The sequence below is a fragment of the Homo sapiens genome, chromosome 12 (assembly GCF_000001405.40).
Source record: "Homo sapiens chromosome 12, GRCh38.p14 Primary Assembly".
Classification (NCBI taxonomy): Eukaryota; Metazoa; Chordata; class Mammalia; order Primates; family Hominidae; genus Homo; species Homo sapiens.
Window position 1 is genome coordinate 82,216,205 of NC_000012.12, and position 27,021 is coordinate 82,243,225.

Below are 27,021 nucleotides of genomic sequence, written 5' to 3' on the forward strand. Positions count from 1 at the left end.
CCCTTCAATTGTCAGCATAACCTCATTCTTCTTGGATGCGGGATAAGAACTCGGAACCCACCGAACGTGGGTACTGAGAAGGCTGTAAACACTGTGGCCCTCTGTCCCTCATGACGGGAAGCAGCAGCAGGACTGAGCCAGCCTTAGAACGATGAGCCAGAGTGGGGCAAGGGACTGACAGAGCTGTTAACACATCACCATCCATCAGGCTGTGGATGGTGGAACTAAAAGAGCTACTTAGCACATTGTAACACCCCTTCTGGGGTTTTGGGGTCATGGACATCGCTGGCTGGGCACCACTGTGTTCCCCGTGGGGTGACATGTCTGGTCCAGCTGAAAGCCTTGCATGGAGCCTGGCTTTATGCTGGCACTTGGAACACTCATCCGGACCCCACACTCACTTGCCCACACAACCCCTCCTACCAGGGTGTGAGCATGCATCCATGGCAGTCGTGTCCTGAGCCAGTGTGCCAGCCAGACGCAACCTGGGTGGGCCGAGTTGGCAGGCCACTGCCTGTGGCAGGTAGCATGGCCAAGCAATGCCCAGGCAGGGGTGTCACCAGCCAGAGGTCCTTGGCTGGCAAAGTGACCAAGAAGTATCTGTATCAATTTTAAATGGTGTTGCTTTCTTGATTTATTTTTCAGATTGTTCACTGTTGACATATAGAAATACTACTGATTAGTGTATGTCCATTTTGTATCCTGCAACTTTATTAAATTTGATATTCTATTCTAATAGTTTTTTGGTGGTGTCTTTAGTATTTTCTAAATATAAAATCATATCATCTACCATCAAGGACAATTTGACTACTTTTTTCCTATTTGGATGTCCTTTCTTTTATCTTTTTTCAAGATAATAATGCTATATGTTTGCTTCTATCTGACAAAAGAGAATTTCACTACAGTGTGACTAAAGCAATACTAATACCATTGTTTCATCTTCATGAAGCCTCCATTTATATACTTTTTTCATAGCAGCATACATTTCAGGTTAAGATTTAGGTGACAGAAATATATTTCCCCCTGCTAAAATACTGGTGGTAGTTAAGGTCAGGGAAGGCAAGGTGGCAATCAGGTGATCCTTGATTCCACAAGGTAACACCTCTCCATATATGCAGAACAGAACTAATCCTATAGATCAAGCATTTCCCAGGAGTTAGAAATTATGACTCTGACAAAGATAGATCATAAATCCCTTTTTCATTTTGTCAATATTTTTTTAAATATTCAAAAAATCAAGTTGAAGTTTCAACTCTAGGCAGTCCAACTTTGGAAATGAGAGATAGATAGATAGATAGATAGATAGATAGATAGATAGATAGATGAGAAAAGTCAAGTAACTATCATTTCCTCTATCTGTATGCTTCTAGGTCCTACTTGATGTTAAAAGCCCAACTCAACTGCTAACTTCAATCAAATTGTAAGAGAAAGAATTGTACCTGTCTTCTGTGGAATATAGTAGGTAAATATTCAATTAATTAATCAGTCTCCTTCATAAAAATCTCTGGTATCTATCTAAAATGAGTTCATCTTTCTCTAAATTTTCATTGCATTTTGCCTATATCCTCTTCTGATTTAATGCTTTCTATGTGGTATGTTAGTTATTTATGTGCGTGGCGTAGGGCCCTCATATATAATTTCTTTGAGGAGAGGGTTTATGTATGATTTGTTTTCTCATACACCAATCAATCAATCAATATTTGTTAGAATAAACATCTGAAAGATATAAACAAGTCAAGTTTTGTTTTGTCTTTAAATTCATATAGATAATTGAAACAGGAGAATTTTCTACCCATGTAAGCACTCTTCATAGTGCAGACTAGACCATTATTACAAAAAAGTTTTTAAAATTACATTCTACTTCCTGAAGACAAATATATTCTAAAGTAGCAATTTGACTCCCCAGAGATGTTTTGGTAAACAGTTTATCAAGTTTTCTCTAAGAACTATAGCATTTATGTGTCTTCTTTCACTTTGCAGTTATAGAAATGACACCTCTAAGAATGAAAATAAATCTCTTATAGTTTTAAAGAGAAATGGAAAGAAATAAGAATTTTTCTCAGCCAGTATATACATGACATGGAGCTTATTGCCTGTTTGCTATATGTTGCATTAAATATAAAGTCAGAAAATTACAGAAGGAAATAATTCATTGTTTGGGGACCACTCACAGAGAAACCAGACTCTAAATATTGGAACCATAACAGAACATGACACAGGAAATCAGAAACAAAATGTAATATAAAAATGACAATTCTATTTGTTCTTTCTTAATATAAAAACATCAAGGATGTTTTATCCAGATAAAACTTTAAGAGCAAAGAAATGCTATGAGTGTTAGGTCATACAAAAGTCATACTTTGTCATGTCATATTATGTACTAATCACCATCAAGAGTTTCTAATTCCTTTTTTAGCTCTTCTATCTCGATCTCCCAAAGTTAGCTCTTTGCCTCCTCACTGAGGCAAACAATTATCTCTACTGGCAAACTGATAGGAGCAAAACGTGTAATACAAAGAACAATATTTATGATAAGAAAATATGTTATTAAAATAAATTACCATGTGATGCACATTTTTTAAGTGTAGAAAATTTATTCATCTTGTTCTCACTCTAGGTGGTTCAGAAGTACATTGTCCAGTTTGTGAATAATCCAGAAAATTCCTCCCTCATTATTATTATGTGGGGGCCCATTTATCAGAAAGAAAAAAAAGAGAAATCGTGACAGTGAGATAAGAAAATAATTCCATTTTTTGTTTGCAGCCAATTTGTTAAATATTGTTGGGAGGGGAAATTGAATTTGTGATTAAATTAGTAATCTTCAGTGGTGTTTCTTTTTTCTTTTTTTTTAACTTTTATTTTAGGTTCAGGTGTACATGTGCAACCTCACCAGCATCTGTCATTTTTTGACTTTTTTTTTTTTTTTTTTTTTTGTTTTTTGAGACGGAGTCTCGCTCTGTTGCCCAGGCTGGAGTGCAATGGCACGATCTCGGCTCACTGCAAGCTCCGCCTCCCGGGCTCATGCCATTCTCCTGCCTCAGCCTCCCGAGTAGCTGGGACTACAGTTGCCCGCCACGACGCCTGACTAATTTTTTGTATTTTTTAGTAGAGACGGGGTTTCACCGTGTTAGCCAGGATGGTCTCGATCTCCTGACCTTGTGATCCGCCCACCTCGGCCTCCCAAAGTGCTGGGATTACAGGCGTGAGCCACCACGCCCGGCCTTGACTTTTTAATAATAGCCATTCTGACTGGTATAAGATGATATCTCAAGGGAACACTTATATCCTGCTTGTAGGAATGGAAATTAGCTCAGCCATTGTGGAGAGTAGTTTGGTAATTTCTCAGAGAACTTCAGAATTACCATTTGACCCAGTAAATCCCAAAGGAATATAACTCATTCTACTATAAAGACACATGCATGTGTATGTTCATCACAGCACTATTCACAATACCAGAGACATGAAATCAATATACATGCCCATCGGCGGTAGACTGGATAAATATTTCATTTTATTTGGCATTAAGAAAAATGTTCCAAATCAGACATAGCAATTTGGAGGAGGAGTAAGAACTGAGGAAATTGAAAGCCAGACAACCCATCCCCAATCCTCTATTCTTACCTCTTGTCTAGCCCCACCAACTTTACTCTCAGGAGGTTGCACAAAGCACACTCCTGTACACAAACTGAGAAATAGAGCATGACAAATATCATCTATGCACTTTAGAATTGTGGGTTACCATAGCAGTGAAGCACTTCAGGTAAATTGCTATAGTGCGTTTGGAATTGAAATCCTAACTTAAAGGAACTAAGACTGTTTCTCTCAGATTAAAAAAAAAAAAAGCTTACCAATAAATATATTGCTGCAGGGCTTAGCTTTAAGTGAAAGTTTTTAGATTGTCTTCCATGAAAACAACAACGGACAGGAAAAGCTTTAAACTTACAAACAATCCTACAAAGAGATCTACAAGCATTGTTAGTAGAAGAAAATCTAAAACTGCCAAGAAAGCAACTTTATGACCATAATCCCTGACTGGCTGAGAAATCCTGCAATGTTTTCATCAAGGATAACACATTTTCTCATATGTTCTGTGAACCATCTTGCTCTGGTAATTATCTGCTGCTGAGTAAGTCTTTTGCATTTTATTCAAGGATATACCCATAAAACCCAACCAAGATGACTAAAACAGATGATCTTCTCATCAGTATGCTCTGAAAGCAATACATAACAAATTCCATTTACCCTCTAATATTTGTCCTAGGGAGAGGATACCTAAATCTAGAAATGACTAGGGCATCTGTGAAGTCAAACGATGTTTGTAGAATAGACAGCCAATTTTTCCAACTAACATACATTAGAATTTGATTTATCCGGTTTATTGTTAAAAAGAGTCTCTCTAGTTAGGTGGCATTATCCTGGACAATAAATATAGTGATAATATGACTCACTTCAAGACTTTCAGGGTTTTCTTTTTAATCATCAAAAAATTAAATTATTTAAAGCGCTTATTTTATTTTATTCTAGGACATTAAAATTAGGAAGGACCATAAGGACTATAACCTAACCAGAAAAATTGATGAGCCAAATATTTTATTCTCAGCTATCCAAGGTAACAATTTACTGAACTTCATTATAATCACCTCTCTTGATGAGTCACTGGTGAATTTATTAATAGCTAAATTAAAAACTATTATGATTCAATTCTATTCAAAACATTTCTTAAGTGTGTCTTATATGTATGCTGTAATATACTAAGCAGGTAACTTTTATGTACTGGACATGGTACAGGCTCTACTGATAATGTGAAGTTTTGCTGGGGATATATTATTACCTTCCTCCTGCCTTTTTTCTTTTTTTCTTTCCTCTTTCCCTGTATCCACTGCCATCCTCTTTCTTTCTTCTGGCTTTCACCCACACATTCAAGTTAAAAAATGTGGTTAAAAACATATTGGTTGGCCCTGATAAAGGTTAAGGATGCAAAACAAAGAACGAAAATTGCCCTTAATTTAGGGGTACCCATGCCCTAATCTTTTCAACTTGTAAACATATTACCTTACATGAAAAAAGATAGTTGGCAAAGGTGATGAGATACTTGAATGGGCTACTATTTTTCAAAGAAGTGATAGAAGAACGTCAAGCTTGGAAGGACTAATATATGCAAAGGCACGCAGTCTTTAAAAGTACTCCTATGTCTTTGATATAATATTTAGAACAATATAAATTTCAAAGTCAAACTTACTTTATTCTCTACTATTTGACTTCATACCAAGATATAGCCAAAATTCTTTTTTTTTTTTGAGATGGAGTTTCGCTCTTGTCCAGGCTGGAATGCAATAGCGCGATCTTGGCTACTGCAACCTCCGCCTCCCGAGGTCAAGCAATTCTCCTGCCTCAGCCTCCTGAGTAGCTGGGATTACAGGCATGTGCCACCACGCCTGGCTAAGTTTGTATTTTTAGTAGAGACAGGGTTAGTCCATGTTGGTCAGGCTGGTCTCGAACTACCATCCTCAGGTGATCTGCCTGCCTTAGCCTCCAAAAATGTTGGGATTACAGGCATGAGCCACTGCTCCCAGCCAACAAATTCTTATGTATTATTCTGTTTGATTTCAATTCACATACAAACATACATTTATTTACAAAGATGGGATTATACTATGCTCATTGTTGGGGTACTTTATTTTCATCTTAAAATTATGTATTAGATATATTTGATATAATCATATATCTTTATAACTATATAATATTCCATTCTATGCATATACCATAATTTATTCAATCCCATATTTATGGGTATGTTTTGCTTTTACAACTAAGACTGCAATATTTCTTTTCTTTTTTCTTTTCTTTTTTTTTTTTTTTTGAGACGGAGTCTCACTGTCTCACTCATGCTGGAGTGCAATGGTGTGATCTCGGCTCACTGCAACCTCTGCATCCCTGGTTCAAGCGATTCTCCTGCCTCAGCCTCCCGAGTAACTGGGATTACAGGTGCCCGCCACCATGCCCAGCTAATTTTTGTAGTTTTAGTAGAGACAGGGTTTCACCAGGTTAGCCAGCGTGGTCTCAAACCCCTGACCTCAGGCGATCCACCTGCTTTGGCCTCCCAAAGTGCTGGGATTACAGGCGTGAGCCACTGCACCTGACCAGGCTGCAATATTTCTTATACACATATCTTTGTTTATGAAACTGGCTTATTGAATGCACTGAACTCATTGAATAAAAACAAGGATATTGTTTTGTTATTATCTTCCTACTACCTTTAACAGTCGTTCTCAAAGTATGGTCTCTGGACTATCAACATCAACATCAATATCACCTGGAAACATAGAAATGCAAATTCTCAGACCTCACAGGCCGTCCTCGCAGACCTCCTGAATCAGAAACTCGGGGAGTGGGACCAGGAGTCTGTGTTTTAACAAGCCCTCCAAGTGATTCTGATGCATATTAAAGTTTGATCATCACTGGCCAACACTCCTCCCATTCCTACTCCTCAAGGACATTTCAGGCAAATCCCTTAGCTTTCTCGTCTCATTCAATTTCACTACTTGCTTTCAGGCATTAAAATATGTCATAGATAAATTGAATAGAAATTTCAATTTCACAATCAATTCAAGACTAGAACCATGACTTACAAGTAGGGAAGGGGGAGACTATCTATTTTTTTGCTTTTCTTTCTTATTCTCATCTTACTCTGCTACTGTTGGATCTCTCTTCTCTCAATAACTAAGACCTAAAAAAAAGGAGTTGGAAAAAAACAGAAACCACTTGTTAGGTGATTTGTGCTGTTGTAATCTAACAATCAGGTTCTTTAATGAGGCAGCCACCAAATGTGGATTGTTTGAAAGACCTTCACAGGTATCTCTAATTTGCACAGTTCCAAGACAGGAGTAGTGTACTCACATGACCTCTTACAATTCTTCACCCCATCATTCTCCATCTTCTGGCTCTATAGCCACAGCTCTTGGAAGTAGTGCACTGCACAGCCTCTTATTGTTAGAATCCTCTTACCCCCAAAACTGATTGTTTTAACTGATATTAGGTTGAAATGACTCAAACTGAATTACCTTCCACAGCAATCAGTTAATTGACAGCAAACGCATGCATCTATGACATGCTAATTGTTGGGAGTACAGACTATTCCTCTGCTATCTTTTCTCTTTGCCAGTCTCTAGGGTTTAAAAAGTCCTGATAAATATTAATCCTTTCCCTATCTGAAATCAAAGCGAACTGACATACATGTAGAAGTGAAAAAGATGAAGATGGAGATTAAGTATTAGTATTATTATGAATGAAAGCTTGTTTGAAGGAAATAGCTTAGAGCTGTGCCAGTAGTACTTGCCAATGCATCAAGCCCAAATTAAACAGAACTCTTACCTAGTCATAGGCATTGCTGGCAAACTGCGGTACTCACCCCCACGGAACAGGCTGCTTCGTCCTTGGCAGAAGAGCAAATGCTAAGGCATGCATCTTATGTGCAGGCTGGTTCCCAAAGACTGGAGAAAGAGTAGTTAGTGTAGTCAGAAACTTTGTGCAGGCTCATCAGATAAATTCTCCTCTTTCCAAATAAAGAAATGAGAGAAATGAAGAGAGAAGCAAAACGTTATCTAGTTCAGCTTTGTCTTACTATACATGCAATATGAACAACAAGTGCTAGTCACATATACAGTTTTAAATTGTCTAGTAACCACATTAAAAAGGAAAAAGAAACAAGTAAAATTAACTTTAGTAATACATTTTTATTTAACCCAGTATCCCAAAATATTACTATTTCATAGAATAATCAGTATACAAATATTAATGATGTCTAATACTCTTGTTTTGTACTAAGTCTTCAAAATTTGATGTGCATTTGACATTTTCAGCACATTTCATTAGGACTGGCCACATTTTAAAACACTCAACTAAAGAGTTTCTGCACAGCCAAAGAAACTACCATCAGAGTGAACAGGCAACCTACAAAATGGGAGAAAATTTTTGCAACCTACTCATCTGACAAAGGGCTAATATCCAGAATCTACAATGAACTCAAACAAATTTACAAGAAAAAAACAAACAACCCCATCAAAAAGTGGGCGAAGGACATGAACAGACACTTCTCAAAAGAAGACATTTATGCAGCCAAAAAACACATGAAAAAGTGTTCATCATCACTGGCCATCAGAGAAATGCAAATCAAAACCACAATGAGATACCATCTCACACCAGTTAGAATGGCGATCATTAAAAAGTCAGGAAACAACAGGTGCTGGAGAGGATGTGGAGAAATAGGAACACTTTTACACTGTTGGTGGGACTGTAAACTAGTTCAACCATTGTGGAAGTCAGTGTGGCGATTCATCAGGGATCTAGAACTGGAAATACCATTTGACCCAGCCATCCCATTACTGGGTATATACCCAAAGGATTATAAATCATGCTGCTATAAAGACACATGCACATGTATGTTTATTGCAGCATTATTCACAATAGCAAAGACTTGGAACCAACCCAAATGTCCAACAATGATAGACCGGATTAAGAAAATGTGGCACATATACACCATGGAATACTATGCAGCCATAAAAAATGATGAGTTCATGTCCTTTGTAGGGACATGGGTGAAATTGGAAATCATCATTCTCAGTAAACTATCGCAAGAACAAAAAACCAAACACCGCATGTTCTCACTCATAGGTGGGAATTGAACAATGAGATCACATGGACACAGGAAGGGGAATATCACACTCTGGGGACTGTTGTGGGGTGGGGGGAGGGGGGAGGGATAGCATCGGGAGATATACCTAATGCTAGATGACGAGTTAGTGGGTGCAGCGCACCAGCATGGCACATGTATACATATGTAACTAACCTACACAATGTGCACACGTACCCTAAAACTTAAAGTATAATTAAAAAAAAAAAAGAAAAAAGAAAAAAAAAACACTCATGAGAGGTACAAGTCACTGGCTACCATATTGGACCATGAAGATCTAGTTTAATGCTTCCTACCTTGAAACATAAGGAGAAAGGATTGTATTTTTTCATTACAATCAGCCAGATTCCATAATTCAGAATTCCCCCAGCATAAATGAAACAATTGTTTCATTATGACACCTTTCACACTGAGCTCCAAACACCACAATTCAAGAGATTCTAATTCTCTAATTTATTTTTGTAGGCCTATCTTAAATATAAGCCTACAAATTTTTGCAACTCAGCAAGCATCCTGCTATGAAGTATGATCTTGTTCTCCTATAATTTTTACTGTCACTCCTATTACAAGTAAATCTTTTTGAGCCCTCTTTCTTGGATGAGAGAGAAAACCCATCTACAGCAAGAGCCAGGGGAACAATTTATGTTTTCAAGCTCTGTTGATGAGTGTGTGTGTTGGGGCAAAAATGATGCATCTTGAAGTAATTATTATCAATTTTCTTCAAATGTTCAGCTTTATACAATTCCAAACAACCAGAAAAACGTTCATTGAACATTTTGTACTATATCCTTGAAAATATATCTGAAGAATACATTTGTGAATGTGAAATTGCTGAATCAAAGGAAATGTATTTCTTAAAATAGTTTTTATAATTTTATAGATGCTGTTAATTGGTCATTGTAAAGCCATCCTCAACCTACTTCTCCTTTGTCACCTCCCACTAGAGCAACAGGAAATCAAATTCTTGCTTTCCCAGTCTCCTTTAAATCTAGGAATGGCCATAGGACTTTATCTGACCCTTGAAACATGAGCAAAAGTCTTTTGAGGGGAAATGTCTAGAGATCTCCTTCTTTTTCTAAAAGCTGGCATAGCCCTTCTCCCTTTCTCCTTTTCTTTGTTTTTGGCAACAGAGAAAAATGTGTGAGTCAACAAAATGTGTGAATCAGCTGTTTGGAGCCCATGGGGTGACATGCATGAGGGGCAGGCTAATGAAATCACAGAAGAGGTGGTGCTGGTTATCATCAACCTGCTGAACCAGCAATTAACTTCATATTGTTTGAAGTATTTTTTAAAAACCCTTATTTATTCAAGCCACATTGTCAAATTTTCTGTTACTTGCAGCCAAAACATTCCTAAGTGATTAGTCTGTTGACAAAAGCCTCTCCAACAAATTGTACCAATCCAATCGTTTTCAAACAAACAGTATATAAGAGTGAATTTTCGCCCAGTATATCCCTGCCAATACAGGGTATCATTAAGAGTTTTAGTTTCTGCAATCTAATAGGTGAAAAATGGTATCTCACATTATTTCAATCTCCAAGAACAGAGATTTATATTTTTGTTAGGGCCACTTCACCTGAAGAAAAATATTTCTGTCTACATATTGTATTTTAAAAGTGATAGTCGGCTCCCAAAATATATCGTTAGTTTAAAAATAACAACAACAAAAAACTTGAAAGACTTTAAATTATAATGATATGTATTTAGAAGCTGTAATAATATTTATAGCCTAATAATTAACATTCTTCCTATTATATATCTTATACAATAGATATAATATGTATATATACGAAAGAAACCCATTTTAACACAAATATTATATATATTACTTGCCTCAGACAATGGGAAAACATGTGACATACAGTCAATGAATAAACTTTGCCTATGAAATCATCTAAAATTTCCAAAGAATTTAGAACCTTACATCCCTTGAGGATGTCCCTTCTCTTGATCTTGCTCAAATAGTATTATTTTGTGCACCACAGCTATTATTGCCAAAATGTTAAGCTCTTACAGGCTAAAAGTGGAACATTTTCTTGTTGCAAAGCAAATTCATTTTACATAATTGAATTTTAAGGAAAAAATTGTTTTTTTATTCTGAGACTCCTTTATCTCACTTTTTTCCATTTGTTCTATTATATATACGAGCTGAAATATATTCAAAGAGATTAAAATTGGTTTATATTCTATAAGGTTAGAAATGAAATTTTTGTACAATTAGTTATCATACATATTCAATTTACTGAAAACTTCATATATAAAGAGTCAGCATTTATGGAAAATCTGGTTTTTAGCATATGCAATAAATGTGCATGATTATCTATTAAGGGTATTTACTATTTTCTTGGAATTTTACATTATTTTACATTAACAAAATATTGAGACACTTGAGATGCCTGGAATATGATTATTTTGCATGCATAATAAAGTTTTCTTAGTATTATCATAATTATCACAATCAGAGCCTTATCCTAGCTGATTATGATGAGCCTGCAATCAGTAACAAAAATGTGGAAGTTTCCTGCTATACCAACAAATATTGAACATAGATAATAAGTAGTAGTTTCACTGGAATGTTTCTAGAGGAAGCCACCTATTTGAGCCCCTCCTGAATGGGCCTTTGTTATTTCAGAGCTTTCCTTGACTCTTGTCTTCCAGGTTATTTCTACCTTGAAAAAAGAGGGTCCTGATAGGTACCTCAGATTACTGAATGATGCATGCTCTCTTTTCTTCTTTCTCTAAGCCCTATTGCTTAGGGACTGGCCTGTCCCCATTTTCCCCTTCTAGCTTTGAAACCACCTATCCTGGGTTGGGGATCTTTCCAATATTATGCTTCTAAAACCATCACGGTGTAGAAACTTGATCCCCAAAGTTCTACACCATTTTGACACTTCTCTGGAATGTTTATTATTTGCCAGAAAATGTTCTAAAATCGACACATACCTATTTAAATCAAATAACTGATGATTAGCTCCTTCACTGGGATTACTGCTTCTGCCCTATTTGGTTCTACATTCTGTTAATTCTCCATTCTTTCTTTTTTAGCCATTCTTTACCTGAATTAAATGTAAAAAGCAGTATAGTATACTAGACAAGAGTTCCTGAACTTAAATTCTGACATGAACATTTACTATCTGTGCCTATGGGGAAATTTCTTAAACAAGTGGTAACTGTTTCCTTATCTGTAAAATGAGGATGATGACAGCATCTACTTTATAGTGTTATTTGAAAAATGAGTTAATAACTGTAAAATGTGTTAATAACTGTAAAACTCATAGAAAATAATCTGGAATGTAGACAGTGCTCAATAATATTACATATCAATAATTTAATATAACATGAAGCCACTTAAGACAAACCTAGGATATGAAAGTCATAAAAATTATTTTTACTACAGGATACCCTGGGACTGCCTATACTTAGGAAAATAAGGAAGGAAAAAAGAGATTCCCAATGTATTTAACAGTGGCAAGAAAGGTAAAAAATGAGACAAGAAGCAATAAGTTGAAATTCACCTATTGAAATTGTTGTTTTGCTGCTTAAATATTGAAAATTTCTCATAGAACAGTAGAGCCAAAATTAAGCCAAAAGGCTGGCTGAAAAATTACTGGATAAGAATAAATGTCACATTTATGCCCAGGCCATTCTAAAACCAAATACAGATTAAGCAGCAAACACCTGAGTGAGAAGGATTATGCTAAGACAGTATAAGGAAAAAGAATTGTTGGCCGGGCGCAGTGGCTCATGCCTATAATCCCAGCACTTTGGGAGGTCGAGGCGGGTGGATTACGAGGCCAGGAGATCGAAACCATCCTGCGAACACAGTGAAACCCCATCTCTACTAAAAATACAAAAAATTAGCTGGGCATGGTGACACATGCCTGTATTCCCAGCTACTCGGGAGGCTGAGGCAGGAGAATCGCTTGAACCTGGAGGTGGAGGTTGCAGTGAGCTGAGATCACACCACTGCACTCTAGCCTGGGCAACAGAGCAAGACTCTGTCTCAAAAAAAAAAAAAAAAAAAAGGAATTGTCAAATGCCTTAAGTCCAATAAAACAAATAGAAAAAGAAGGGAGGATGGTCAGCTGAATTCAGGTCTGAGTACCACGTTGTGGGTAAACATATGTAAGTTCTTTATCAGACTGCAAAATCGTATGGGATTATGATTAATTTACTGATAAGGTGCTGGCAATGCAATGCTGTAATGAACTAAAATATGATGCATAGTAAGCTTTCAGACAAAAAGCTTATTCTTACTAAACTTCTCATTAATTAAAAGTATTGGAAGAGTTTGGAAGAACATTATAATTATCGTCATTATTTTCATGTTCAAACTAGAACCTTATTGTGTTAATAGAATATTCCAGGCATAGGTAAACTCAATCTTAGCTCAATTTCCTGCACCTCAAATTGTAAGAGAAGTAGCTCTTCCCTAGTCTGTCTGTTCCACAGAATCAAAACCCCTTACCCTCACCTTCAGTTTCATATTTTGCCTCCTGCCTCCATCTCTTATTTCATTTCCTTATTATTTACCACCATTAGTTAGAGAGACCACATTATTTATTATCTGAACTGAAGCAACTCCAACAGTAAATATAGGTCTCTAAAATAATTAAACTAATATAAATATTTGAAATATTTATGTGCTAAAGTTCGGCTTTATTATACTGGTGGACCTATATATTTTCATTTAAAACTAATTTTAAAATAAAATTCTACTTAGAAAGTAAAAATAACATATAAAAATGTACAAAAAGGGGGAAATCTACTTTATCTTGGCTATCAGAATATTAAAAAATAAAATAAGCAGTGTAAACCTTGTTGGTACATATGCATGTACTTTTAATCAGTTTCTTAGTTGTATCTATCCCAAAACCATGTCACTGGCATTTTTCCAAATACTGTATTTCAATGGTCATATATTTATTTTTTTGTAAAATTTTCTGCAGTCTTCTTCAAAACCAAATATAATGTGAATAAATTTGAAATTGTTGCTATCATCAATAGAATATTTTCTGTAATCACAATGATTTTTATTAGGAAAATATTCTTTTTATAGGGATGGAACAACTGATAAACCCAAAGTGAATTCTACCAAATGAAGGACATTCTTAGTTCAATATTTTGTATTTAAATGAGTAATCACAAATATTTTGCAAGCACATCTTTTTTACCTGCAGTCAGAGAATTTGTCTGAAAAATATTTTACGTAAAAAACTGATCAAGTAACTCATTGCTATTTATAATTGTTTTAGATGTTTTGCCAAATTTAGATCTTGCAAAATTATAGGCCTTCTCAAGCTTCATTCTATTCTTGTACAGAATCTAAATTAGTCCACGAAAATGGGAGTTCCATCAAAATCAGCTTATTCCGAAAGCAATTCTAGAACTTCAAACTAAATCTTACTTGCTGTTTGAACTCCTACTATTTAAATTGTTCATTTATTCCTTTGCTTTTATATTGAGAAATTTCCAAACAATCCTGCTTTTAAGCTTTATTTTCAATAATTCTGTTTATAAGATTTATTTTCAATTATTCTCCAAAAGATGGAGACTCTTGGCATTCCACTTGTTGAATATTTAATTCAAGATTTCTCATTGATTTTTCAGGGAAATGTAACCAAGATTTAGGGAAGTCATTATTTAAAAGTTTGCTACCGGCCGGGCTCAGTGGCTCACACCTGTAATCTCAGTGTTTTGGGAGGCCGAGGCGGGTGGATCACCTGAGGTCAGGAGTTCGAGACCAGCCTGACCAATATGTTGAAACCCTGTCTCTACCAAAAATACAAAAATTAGCCGGGCATGTTGGCATGCGCGTGTAATCCCAGCTACTCAGGAGGCTGAGACAGGAGAATCGCTTGAACCCAGGAGGCAGAGGTTGCAGTGAGCCAAGATCATGCCATTGCATTCCAGCCTGGGCAACAGGAGTGAAACTCCGTCTCAAAAAAAAAAAAAAAAAAAAAAAAGTTTGTTACCACAGTAAGATACTTAGGTTGAATGACAAGGCAGTTCTTCAAAGACTCAAGCATTTCTGAAGTCTGAACAATGCTGGACAGCAAAGAGAGAAAGAAACTTATTGGCAGGCTGAAGTGTTTAGTTGTACTCAACATCAATTTTGTCACAGACATCTTGCAGTTGTTACTCTAAGTGTGTACACGTTTAAAATATTCATCAAATTTTGGCAAATTAATGTGTATCGTAAAAATACCAAGTAAATTTTCACTTTGTCGTTTTCTTAATTTAGTTATAGCAGTCTTTTAATGACAATACTGTTCTCTACACAAAAAATTTTAGCTACAGTATCACTGCAATAACCATTTTAAATAGAGTTTCAAACTTGTCAACTAAATTTACAATAGCAATATAATAATGTTAAACATATAAACTATGAGAGAATCGGCTTCCAAAAGATTTACTTTGATTCCATGAAATTAAGTTTTTTAAAAGGGAATCATTATGGAAATTAACTGATTTCCTATTTTAAGCATCTAATGATGTTTATGTGAAAACTAGCATCATTTAACTGCCTGCAAAATTCCGCTAATCGCTCTGATACATTAATATCTAACATTTCATTTTTTGTACATGAAAAAAAGCTTGGGGTTAAAATTGAGCAAAATTAATTCAAAATAATAATTTTTAATCTAGATTTACCTTCTGGAGCTTCAAGTATCTAATAAAGTTTGGAACAGATGATGATTTATGTTTTTCAGGATACTTAGATTTTCAAGTTTCCACATGGTCAGAGATATATTATGGCCTCTGTGATGGATGATAAATATTGTCAAATATTTATATAGCTTAAATATTCTTTATCAACTTTATTGAGAAAGAGACAGACCATAAGATTTCATTATACATGCACTTTCTTTTTTTTAGTTTATTGCTACTGATACTGTTTATTCCAAAATAAAAATATCTCACCAAACAAAAAAATAGAGATATATACCATATGCTTAATGACAGAGGGTTATTGAGATAAATCTGTATGCAAAGTACATGAGGACACTCCTAGCGCTTTCAATATAACTCCTTGGGTGTACCAGAGACCTTCAAGTGGAACTTTGTAAAATTTTACATGATATTACTCACAAGATCAAAGACAGATTGGCCTTTGTACTCAGTCAATGCTTGGTTAGAGGAAGGGAGAATATTACAGACATTTTTTAGTGTGTCTCTGATGCCTATCTTATCTGTCACCAGTTTAATAATGGTAAACTGTAAGAGTAAGACATGGTCAAGAACGCAAGTTTCCCAGTCCCTTTGAAAAACTCCAAATAGGTTCCATATTGAGTTTCTAATGAGTTTTTAATATGTCCAGATCAGTGATTATTCTCAGGATAAAATGAAGCTGTTCCTACCAAAGAGCTATGGCTCAGACAGTAGCAAAAGTTTAACTAATTTTATGTACCTAGCACAGGGAATTCCAACTTATCTCTCCAGTGATAAAAATATTCATTTCCCTGGGACTGTTATTATAGAACTTTAAAGTCTTTGCCACATAAACAACTTTATGGTCCAGATCACTCTCAATCCTCAGGAAAGTAGAAAGAGACAATGTCATGCTTAAATTCAAATGAGTAAAATTGTCTATCACTATTTGGCTTGTTGCCTAACAATGTCCTCATAACCATGAAATCCTTTACCTCTGAGACCCATAAAATATCATCAAAATTATTACATATCACCATAAGAGGTTAAATATTTCTCTTCTAATTTTGGACTCTAAATTACTTCCATCAGACATCAAGGCATAGCAAAGTTCTTTGAAGAACTCGTGCAATATACTTAATCTTATCAACAACATATACAAATTGCTCTTCCTTCACAACCTCCTAAACAAATTCTATGTGATAAAACTCAGAGACTTTATCTTCTGAAAAAGGATAAAAAATGTCTTGGAACTACATTGGGAACAATGGTGTCAGGTACTTCTAACCACTAACACAGCAGTTTAACTCCATAGTGTAAATCCTTGGATTCATGTGCCCTTGCTAAAAATCACACAAAGTTTCAAACTTCCTTTGTACTGTACTGCCATTCCATTGAGAGATTTAACATAAGGATTCTTAAGAATGTTTCAGAAGCAGATAGTCAGAAGAAGACGTCTTCAAACCAAGAGCTTCAGATCAAGAAGACAACAGCATGATGTAGAAAACATCCACCCCAAACCTACAGAACTAGATCTAGCTCACTGGGGCTGCAGATTGCCATGCATGCCTTTGTTTTTTGTTTTCCTAGTTGATTTCTTTCCTTTTTGCTGAGTTAAGGTTTTATATTTTAAATAAACACTTGTTATTTTTAATGTAATACTTACAAAATTTTATATATAATACGTCTTTATGCATTCTTAATTACTCTTTGGTATGGGTCCAATCCCTGGCTGCATACTTTTCATGATTTGGACAAATGTACAATCAAACTGACTGATTTGTACATATCTCTGAATGTTAATCAGTTCTCTTAAGTATTAATGCCTAAAACACATTTGTTTACACTAATTATTAGACTGAACCATAACATGAGTTTTATCTAGCAAATAGCATAATAGTTCAGGTAAACAAAAATGTAAAACCATCTGTCGTACAATACCTACAAGAAGAGGTTTCTGTTTTCACGAAAATAACAGCCAAGATCCATTTGTAATAAATAGACCTGATAATCAAACTTTTATAGGGATTAGGCTCAGATGAAAAACAGGAAATACATGTTTTATAGTTTACCTCTTACATTTACAGACCTTACAAAGAAGGCTTCCTATGTAAGTTAAAAAACTGATTTCCTATCAGATTGAATCATTAATCTATTTAATAATGTCATCACTTTATGGTCTTCTGCCTAGTACCTAACTACTTCTGAATAGAAATGAAACCATATAATGAAATCGAGATACTCCATTAAGCTATTTCAGTCAAGATCACATCATTTAGTAGAAATCAATGACTATTATTGAATTTGTGTGCCCCCCCACACACGAAAAAAAGGTTATTGGCTACTACCAGAAAACCTGACAAGATCTTATCTCAGGATACTTATATCTGTCTGCAGGATAGTCTCTAAAATAACACAGTTTCCATTTTGACCCTCTAGTTCTCCTTCTTTGAAAAATAGCTTGCTTTAAGAAAAGAAAAACTGGCCTCAATTAGAGGTTCAATTCCTAACTTATTCAGTGAAAAATTCTAGACAACTTTTTTCTGTCCTCAAGACTTTTTATATTATTCTTTGAAAGAGATATAGAATATAAGGAAATTCTTATCTGTCATAGTTCAATAATTGAAAGAGAAGCTAAACAACCTCAGTAAGCGCATAGATTTGCTCTCATAAGAAGTTTATGAGATTGGAACATGTTGATTTAAAATAGAGCAGTCCTAGACAGAATATTGACATGGTGGTACATGTGCTACTTCAGAGGAATAATTGAGGTGGCACATGTGCTATTTCAGAGGAATAATTGTTATAGCATCCCTACAGATTTTTATGAGACCTTTAATACTACTAAGAAGATGACAAATAAATGAGGAAATCATGAAATTAATTAACTAATAGCCTCATATTTGTTCTGCAGGCTCTTCATATTGGGGATGGAATCTGTTATCTTGGTTTAATTTAGGCACTGTTGGATTTCAGTTTAGCAGTCAGCTACAAATCTTGATTATAATTATTCTAGTATTTGTCTAAGTGGCATGGTTTAAATGCTGTTGTTCAGCCACTGCTCCATCAAGTAATCCAAAAAACTGACCTGCCAAAAAGAACAAGAAAACCTGACATATATAGCAGTTGAAATGACTACCAGCAAAAACTTGCTGTGTAATTATGACTTTCCAAAGAATTTATATAGACCTGAACTGATCATTTCCCCAGATGATAATGGTCTATCCTTTAGCCTGGGCTGGAAAATGATGACATGTAGAGGTGAAGAATTGAAACAACGTGTGTCACTATGACTTAGTTGAGATTGTATATTACCTGTGTCAACATGAGTTAGTTGTTTGTTCCAGGAAATTTTGCCAAGAAAAAAATAAAGATGTAAACCAATAAATCATTGTTTGTTTATGTAAATTTCCAAAGATCAATTTATTAGAGGCAATAGACTGTTCACCTGAGAGAATAACTTGTTTGTCACCCATAGTTTATTTATCAAGACTTGCTTCATCACCCTTGTTTCTCTGTGTCCACCAAATCTAAACTATTATATCATTAATTTTGTCTAAACCTAATTAGTTCCCCATCTTTCCAGACTCATCTTCAACAACTTCATCTTATATAACAATGACCTATAAATATTCCACTTCTGAACTCTCCTTCCCAAAACAATACCAAGACTATATTAAGGTGGTGTGCTACCCAATGAAGAAAATTCTAGTAAATTTTGCTTTCCTTTATTAATAGATTGTTTGGTGATATTTAGTAGAACTCAACATAAACTACTTCATTTGGTTGGCCATCAAAGTCTCATTCTTCAGTGTCATTGTTCATTGTTTGCCTCACTTCTAAAACTTCCAATACCCCCTCTTTTCTCCTCTTTTGCTAAGAATGACCAACTCATTTTACTTTTTAAATTTTTTTTAAATTTTTGTGAGTACATGGTCAGTGTATATATTTATGGGGTACATAAGATATTTTTATACAGGTATGTAATGCATAATCATCAAATATGGAAAATGGGGTATCCATCTCCTCAAGTATTTATTCTTTGTGTTACAATCAAATTATATTCTTTTAGTTATTTTAAAATGTTACAATTAAATTATTATTGACCCTAGTCCCTGTTGTGCTATCAAACACTAGACCTTATTCATTCATTCTATTTTTGTATCTATTAACCGTCTCCACTTCTGTCTCACCACACCCCACAACTACCTTTCCAAGCCCTCTTGTTACCATCTTTCTATTCTCTGTCTCCTTGGGTTCCATTGTTTTGATATTTAGATCCCACAAATAAGTGAGAACATGTGACATTTGTATTTCTGTGTCTGGCTTATTTTTCTTAACATAATGAACTCCAGTTCCGTCCATGTTGTTGCAAATAACCGAATCTTATTTTTTTATGGCTGAATTTACTCCATTGTGTCTAAGTACCACATTTTCTTTATCCATTATTCTGTCAATGAAGACACATTGCTTCCAAATCTTGGTTGTTGTGAACAAAGCTGCAACAAACCTGGGAGTGCAGATATCTCTTTGATCTACTTGTTTTCTTTCTTTTGGGTATGTACCAGCAGTATAATTGCTGAATTGTTTGGTAGCTCTATTTTTAGTTTTATGAGGACCGTCCAAACTGTTTTTCTCCAAACTGTTTTAGTTTTATGAGGACGCTCCAAACTGTTTTGTACTAATTTGCACTCCTACCAACAGTGTACAAGTGATCCTTTTACTCCACATTCTCATCAGCATTTGTTATTGTCTGTCTTTTGGATAGGAGCCATTTTAACTGGAGTGAGATGTTGTCTCATTGTAGTTTTGATTTGCATTTCTCTGATTAAGTCCAATGTTTCTTTGTTGATTTTCTGTCTGAAAGATATGTTTAAAGCTGAAAGTGGGGCGTTGATGACTCCAGCTATAATTGTATTAGAATCTATCTCTCTCTTTACCTCTAATAAAATTTGCTTTTATATCTGGGTGCTCCAGTATTGGATACCATATATATTTTAAATTGTTGTATCTTTTTAATTAATTGACTTTTTTATCATTATATGGTGATCTTCTTTGTCTCTTCTTATAGTTTTTGTCTTGAAATCTATTTTGACTGATATAAATATAGCTACTCCTGGTCTTTTTTGGTTTCTATTGGCATGGAGTTTCTTCTTCCATCTCTATTTTCAATGTAGGTGCATCTTTATAGGTGAAGTGTATTTCTTGTAGGCAACAAATCAATAGATCTTGGTTTTCATCCATTCAGCCACTCTATGTCTTTTGATTGGAGACTTTAGTCCATTACATTGAATGTTATTACTGATAAGTAAGGACTTACTCCCGCCATTTTATTATTTGTTTTCTCATTGCTTTGTGGCATTCTCTTCTTTGTTTATTTCCTTCCTGTCTTCCTTTTAGTGAAAGTTGTTTTCTATGGCAGTATGATTTAGTTTCTTGCTTCATATTTTTTGTATATCCATTGTATGCTTTTTGGTTTGAGGTTAACATGAGGCTTGCAAATACTATCTTATACCAATTATTTTAAGCTGATCACAACCTAAAGCCAAGCAGGGTGACTCATGCCTCTAATCCCAGCACTTTGGGAGGCCAACACAGGTGGATCACGAGGGCAGGAGATCGAGACCATCCTGGCCAAAGCGGTGAAAACCTGTCTGTACTAAAAACACAAAAAATTAGCCAGGAGTGGTGGTTCATGCCTGTAATCCCAGCTACTCGGCAGGCTGTGGCAGGAGAATTGCTTGAACCCGGGAGGCAAAAGTTGCAGTGAGCCGAGATTGTGCCACTGTACTCCAGCCTGGTGACAGAGTGAGACTCCATCTCAAAAAAAAAAAAAAGAAAAAGAAAAAAGAAAAAAGAAAGATATTGATTCTAAATACATGTGGAAACAAGTTTCTAATGCACCTTACGAGCTTGTCACCAAAGATCTTTATTTCCTTTTCCAACACCCCTCCACCAGCACCATTTGTTTTTCTCCTGATTACATTTTAGAACTCAGCTTATAAATTGTGCCCTCTGGGAAATCTTCCATCATGCATTGAGGTTGAATACTATATCACTAATCACAGTGTTTTAATGGCTCTTTTAATTGTCTTTTTTTCCCTTTTAGCCATAAACTTTTTTTTTTTCTTTTTTTTGACAGTCTTGCTCTGTCACCAGGCTGGAGTGCAGTGGTGTGATCTTGGCTCACTGCAACCCCCGCCTCCCAGATTCAAGCAATTCTCCTGCCTCAGCCTCCTGAGTAGCTGGAACTATAGGCACATGCCACCATACCCAGCTAATTTTTGTCTTTTTAGTAGAGACAGGGTTTTACCACATTGGCCAGGATGGTCTCCATGTCTTAACCTCATGATCCGCCTGCCTCGGCCTCCCAAAGTACTGGGATTACAGGTATGAGCCACCGCGCCTGGCCCATAAGCTTCTTGAGAGCAGGAACTGATTTATTCATTAATGTACTCCTGGATATTTAACACAGAGTTTGACCTATTGTTCATTATCACTAAATATTAGATCTTGAGGGTTTTGAATATTTAAGATATTTTCATAAATTTTATATTTTTGAATGCTTTGTTAGTGTGAGGCATTGTGTAGAATAATTCATGACATGTATCTTCATGAAGAGGTGACATTTTGGTTAATTCAGAAAGGAAGTTAAAGTTTACAATTGAAAAAAATTAAAGAAATATGATAAAAACATTGTAACCAAATTAATTCTTCAGATTAGCTTAGCCAAACACCCTTTAATAATCTGTCATGATCTTCCATTAGGTATCTAGGGGTCCTAGATAAGCAAATGTAAAGACTTGAGAAAACTGTGCCTTTCAACACTAGAAAAATGTGATTATTATAAAATTAAAGGATAATCTGTTCAGGAACCAGCACTATAGGACAGTGTTACAATTTTTAGGAAATACAAGATAAAAGCATATTTTGTCTCCCACTGCTTTGATATATTTTTAGTCGAGTCTGAGCAAATATTCTCTCTTTTTTTCTGTTTGTGTGTCTGCAAACAGAAATCTCATTAAAATGTCTACCAGAAATACTATGGAATTAGATGCTAGATTAAAGACAAGAACATTGGATTCCTAAGTGCTGTGGAAGATAAAGTTTTAATAATAAAAGTAAACTCAAACCTATGACACATCTTATTTTCTTTATTTTTGAAAACTTAGGTTACCATGACAACAAAGTAACCTGAGGAATCCAATAGTTCATTAATTCAATTAAGTTTTTTTTTTTTTCTCCAAGAAAACAGAAGATTTTGTTCTCCTTCAAGAATTTATAAACCGCAGGGCAAAATCTGCCATAAAATCATTTAAAATGAAAATCTCCAATTAAAGCAATGCATCTTTTAGAAATAATATCTGCCAGAAATTTCAAAATCCTACTGAGTCTTGAAATTATTAGTTCCTCTATTTAATCCCCAGGCATCTTGAATTTCAATACTTTTAAATAATTCCTCTGACAATACCAAATAGAACTAAGTGTAAAATGACAACAATTAGCTACGAATTAGCATTTCAAATGACAATGTAAAAGCTCAGTATTATTTGAGATGCAGCCAAAATATTACAGGATAGAGAAGTGACATTCTTCCCTTATTAATTAGGGAATATTAGTGGGAATATTAATATAGTGCAATATTAGTGGTTCTAATATTGCACACTACTTTAGGAATTTGAATAGTTTTCTTTAAAATGTTAATGCAGCTCCTAGTTTCTAAAGTTTTTCCATCAATACTGCTTCAATAGCAAGATTATTCTTCAATCCAGCCATGTTAAGTATTACATATAACTTCAAATATAGTATATTTTAGCCTATCCATTTGTGTTGCTGACAACAAAACATAATGTGAAGGTCAATCAAATTATGACAAGGAGAATACGAGCAAAATAATATTTTAAACATTTGTGTGACTCTCACTTATCTAGCTAAATACACTAGCCTCTTTATTATTTTATTCATTTTTTTTTCTTTTACAACTTTTATTTTGTGTATAAGGGGCATATACACAGGTTTGTTACATGGGTAAATTAAGTGTTGCTGGGGTTTGGTGTACAAATCACTTCATCACCCAGGTAGTTGCACAGAACCCAATAGGTAGTTTTTCAACCCTTACCTTCCTCTCACCCTCCACCCTCAAGTAGGCCCTGGTGTCTACTGTTTCCCTCTTTGTGTCCATGTGTTCTCATCATTTAGCTCACGTTTATAAATGAGAACATGTGGTGTTTGGTTTTCTGTTTCTGCATTAATTTTCCCAGTATAATGGCATCTGGTTGCATATATGCTGCTACAAAGGACATGATTTCATTTTTTTACGGCTGCATAGTATTCCATGATGTATATGTGCCATATTTTATCTAGTCTATCACTGATGGACATTTAGGTTGATATCATCATGTCTTTGCTATTATGAATAGTGCTGCAGGGAACATACATGTGTTTTTTTGGTAGAATGATTTATATTCCTTTGGTACATACCCAGTAATAGGCTTGCTGGGTCGAATGGTAACTCTGTTTTAATTTCTTTGAGAAATCTCCAAACTGCTTTCCTTAGTGGCTGAACTAATTTGCATTCACATCAGGAGTATATAAGTGTTTCTTTTTCTCTGCAACCTTGCCAATATCTGTAATTTTTTGACTTTTTAATAATAGCCATATTGACTGCTGTGAAATGGTATGTTATTGTGGTCTTGATTTGCATTTCTTTAGTGATTAGTGATGTTGAGCATTTTTTCATAAGCTTCTTGGCTGCATGCATCTCTTTTGAAAAGTATCTGTTCATGCCCTTTTTGCCTACTTTTTAACAGTGCTGTTTGCTTTTTTCCTGCTAAATTAAGTTCCTTATAGATTCTGGATATTAAACCTTTGTTTGATGCATAGTTTGCAAATATTTTCTCCCATTCCATAGGTTGCCTGTTTACTCTGCTGATAGTTTCTTTTGCTGTACAGAAGCTCTTTAGTTTAATTACCTGAATAAACTTGATCCATGCTTAGGGTTTACATAATCAAGTCCCTTTTTAATCTTTTTTGAGATTATATAAACATCAACAATAGTAAACTTCTATAGAAGAAATTAGGTTGGGCCCAATTTATTACCTTTCCACGTCCAGTTAGCATCATTTAGATACACTATGAGTTTCTTATCAAGTTGATAGCTATGAGTCTAATAAAGATGACATTAAAATATAAATGTAAAGAATTCATATATTACAAATTTACTGAATTTTATTTGTTCTAAAACATAGCTTTGTGACTATATACATATATAGATACATATATGACATATATGATACACGTATACACATAAATGATATATTTATTTACCATCCTTTGTACCTGAAAGAATATTATTAAAGACAGTAATGGTTACATGTAGCTGTGATTTCAAATCTGAAATATGATGTATTTTTAAAAGAAATATACTATACAAACAGCATTGACAACTAACTTTTTGATTCTTGGGGAACATATTGCTGTTCTGTTTCCATCTCATGAGGAATTTGTCAAGTTGTCATTTGAATGCCATCACTGGGTAACAGCCAGTGATACACATTGTGCCAGGCACTGTCCTAAGCATTTTTATATATATTACTATATTTCATCCAATAAAAAATAAAAGTAATTATTATTGTTGCCATTTTACATGGTGATGAGAATGACTCAGAGGAACTGGAATATGCCTAGGGATGCAAAGAGAGTAGGATTCGGAGTAGTGATTCTCATCCAGGTCTAACTGACATCAGAGACCAGGCTCTTCACATGCTACAACCCGTTGATCTAGCCCCTTCTCTGAAATTTTTCTTTTGTTGGTCCTTTAGTAGTGTGTCAGTCTATTCCTGAAATGACCATAATGCTCATTCCTTAACATTTAGTAGCTTTGGGGTGTCCTAGTCATATAACCTAAGGTAGTCCTGGGATAATGAATAAAAGGAATAAGTTGCTGACAGTCTCTCCTATTGAAGGTTTTCACAGTTTGCAAATAAAAATATAGACATGCAGTTTAATTTGGATTTCAGATAAAATTTGAATCTTAAATGTTGCCTGGAAAATACTTACACAAAAATTATTTGTTGTTTATCTGAAATTCAAACTTAAGTGTGTACATTGTATTTTACCTAGCTTGTATCCTCATTCCTCCCCTACACAAATGTGAACAGTAACTGTGGCTCCAATACCAAATATGACTTTTGAAAATATATTAGCGTTAATTTTTGAAAATCTTAATAGAAGAGATCATGGTTGAGGAATCCAAGGCCTATAGAGAAAAGTAATGTTAAGAGAAATAAGATCATGAGTAGACTTATAAAATGCATAAAATAATTTTACATTTGCTAAAACCAAAAAAGTACAAAAATAAATTACAGAAATATCAATGGGGATGTTAAATATCTCAGTTTTATAATAGTGCATCTTGGGAAGTTGCTTTCTATTTAACTTCGATCTTGAGATTAGTCATGAGAGGAAGAGGAGGCCACTCTGATAGTACTTACAGGAGAGAAAAAGAGGAAAGTATCATATAAATTAGATTCCAAAAGTTCATTTTTGTGTTTGTGGGTTCAGCTGGCTTCTGATTATTGGCTTTTTAAAAATTAATATATAATGGTTCAAGGTTTTCAGAAAGTGTTTCTCTATATTCCATTCTCTCATTCATACTCATTTATTTTTGAGAAATTATAAAATTTGAGCTAAGCAACATTTTTTGAAGATATTCTTATCACTCTTTACAAAGTTGTAGCAATTTAGTCATGTCTTTTCTGCAGATTTCCCCTTAGAATTTGATTGCATAAATGCTCAAAGTACCAACTTCAGGTACTAAGTCTTTTTTCAGGTGAAATCAAATAAAGTTCTTGATCCCCTTCAATATGATTTCCAAAATTACGTTTGGCTTCTTTTGTAAATGTACAGTACACTTTTTCTTTAATCTGAAATACTCTGTCTCTGTACTTTTTTCTGGAAGCTGAATTCCTCCTGCCACTACCAGTATTCTCTACACTTTGGCAATGGAATAGAGATTTAAGGAAAAAAAAGAAAAAAGTGTTTTGCTGGGTGCGGTGGCTCATGCTTGTAATCCCAGTACTTTGGGAGGCCAAGGCGGGCAGATCACCTGAGGTCAGGAATCCAAGACAAGCCTGACCAACATGGTAAAACCCCGTCTCTACTAAAAATACAAAATTAGCCAGGTGTGGTGGTGCATGCCTGTAATCACAGCTACTTGGGAGGCTAAGGCAGGAGAATCGCTTGAATCTGGGAGGTGGAGGTTACAGGGAGCAGAGATGGCACCATTGCACTCCAGCCTGAGCGACAAGAGCGAAACTCCATCTCAAAACAAAACAAAACAGTGTTTTATCACAATGAGTCACATCCTACTTGGTGTCCAAGAAAACATTACCTGGCCTCATGATATTTCTTGTCTAACACCATCAACTTCCGGTATAGCAGTAGTTCCCCTTCATTACTAATTATTCATTTAATGTCCAGCAGCCTATGTCTACATACCCAGGCATTAATTATTCATCAAGACCTTCAATTCTTTCACTCCTCTTCAATTCTGTGTTCTATTCCTCATTCTCTCTTCCTTTCATTCCTCATTAAGCTTATATTTCCTGTTCTATGATTACAGGCTCCCCTGGAAGATATCCTCTACTCTTCATTCTTCTCTCCTGCTGACATACATGTGT

At 35.1% G+C, this 27,021-nt stretch overlaps 1 long non-coding RNA gene across 2 annotated transcripts in view; it reads right to left on the bottom strand.

Annotated features, from left to right (window-relative positions):
* The window catches only part of LOC105369873 (uncharacterized), a 173,421-nt gene that overhangs the window by 81,310 nt on the left and 65,090 nt on the right, over nt 1-27,021 (bottom strand). For both annotated transcript variants that reach the window (XR_001749232.1, XR_945149.4), the window contains exon 2: nt 7,409-7,490. This is a non-coding gene — a long non-coding RNA (uncharacterized LOC105369873). The remainder of the gene's footprint in view (nt 1-7,408; nt 7,491-27,021) is intronic.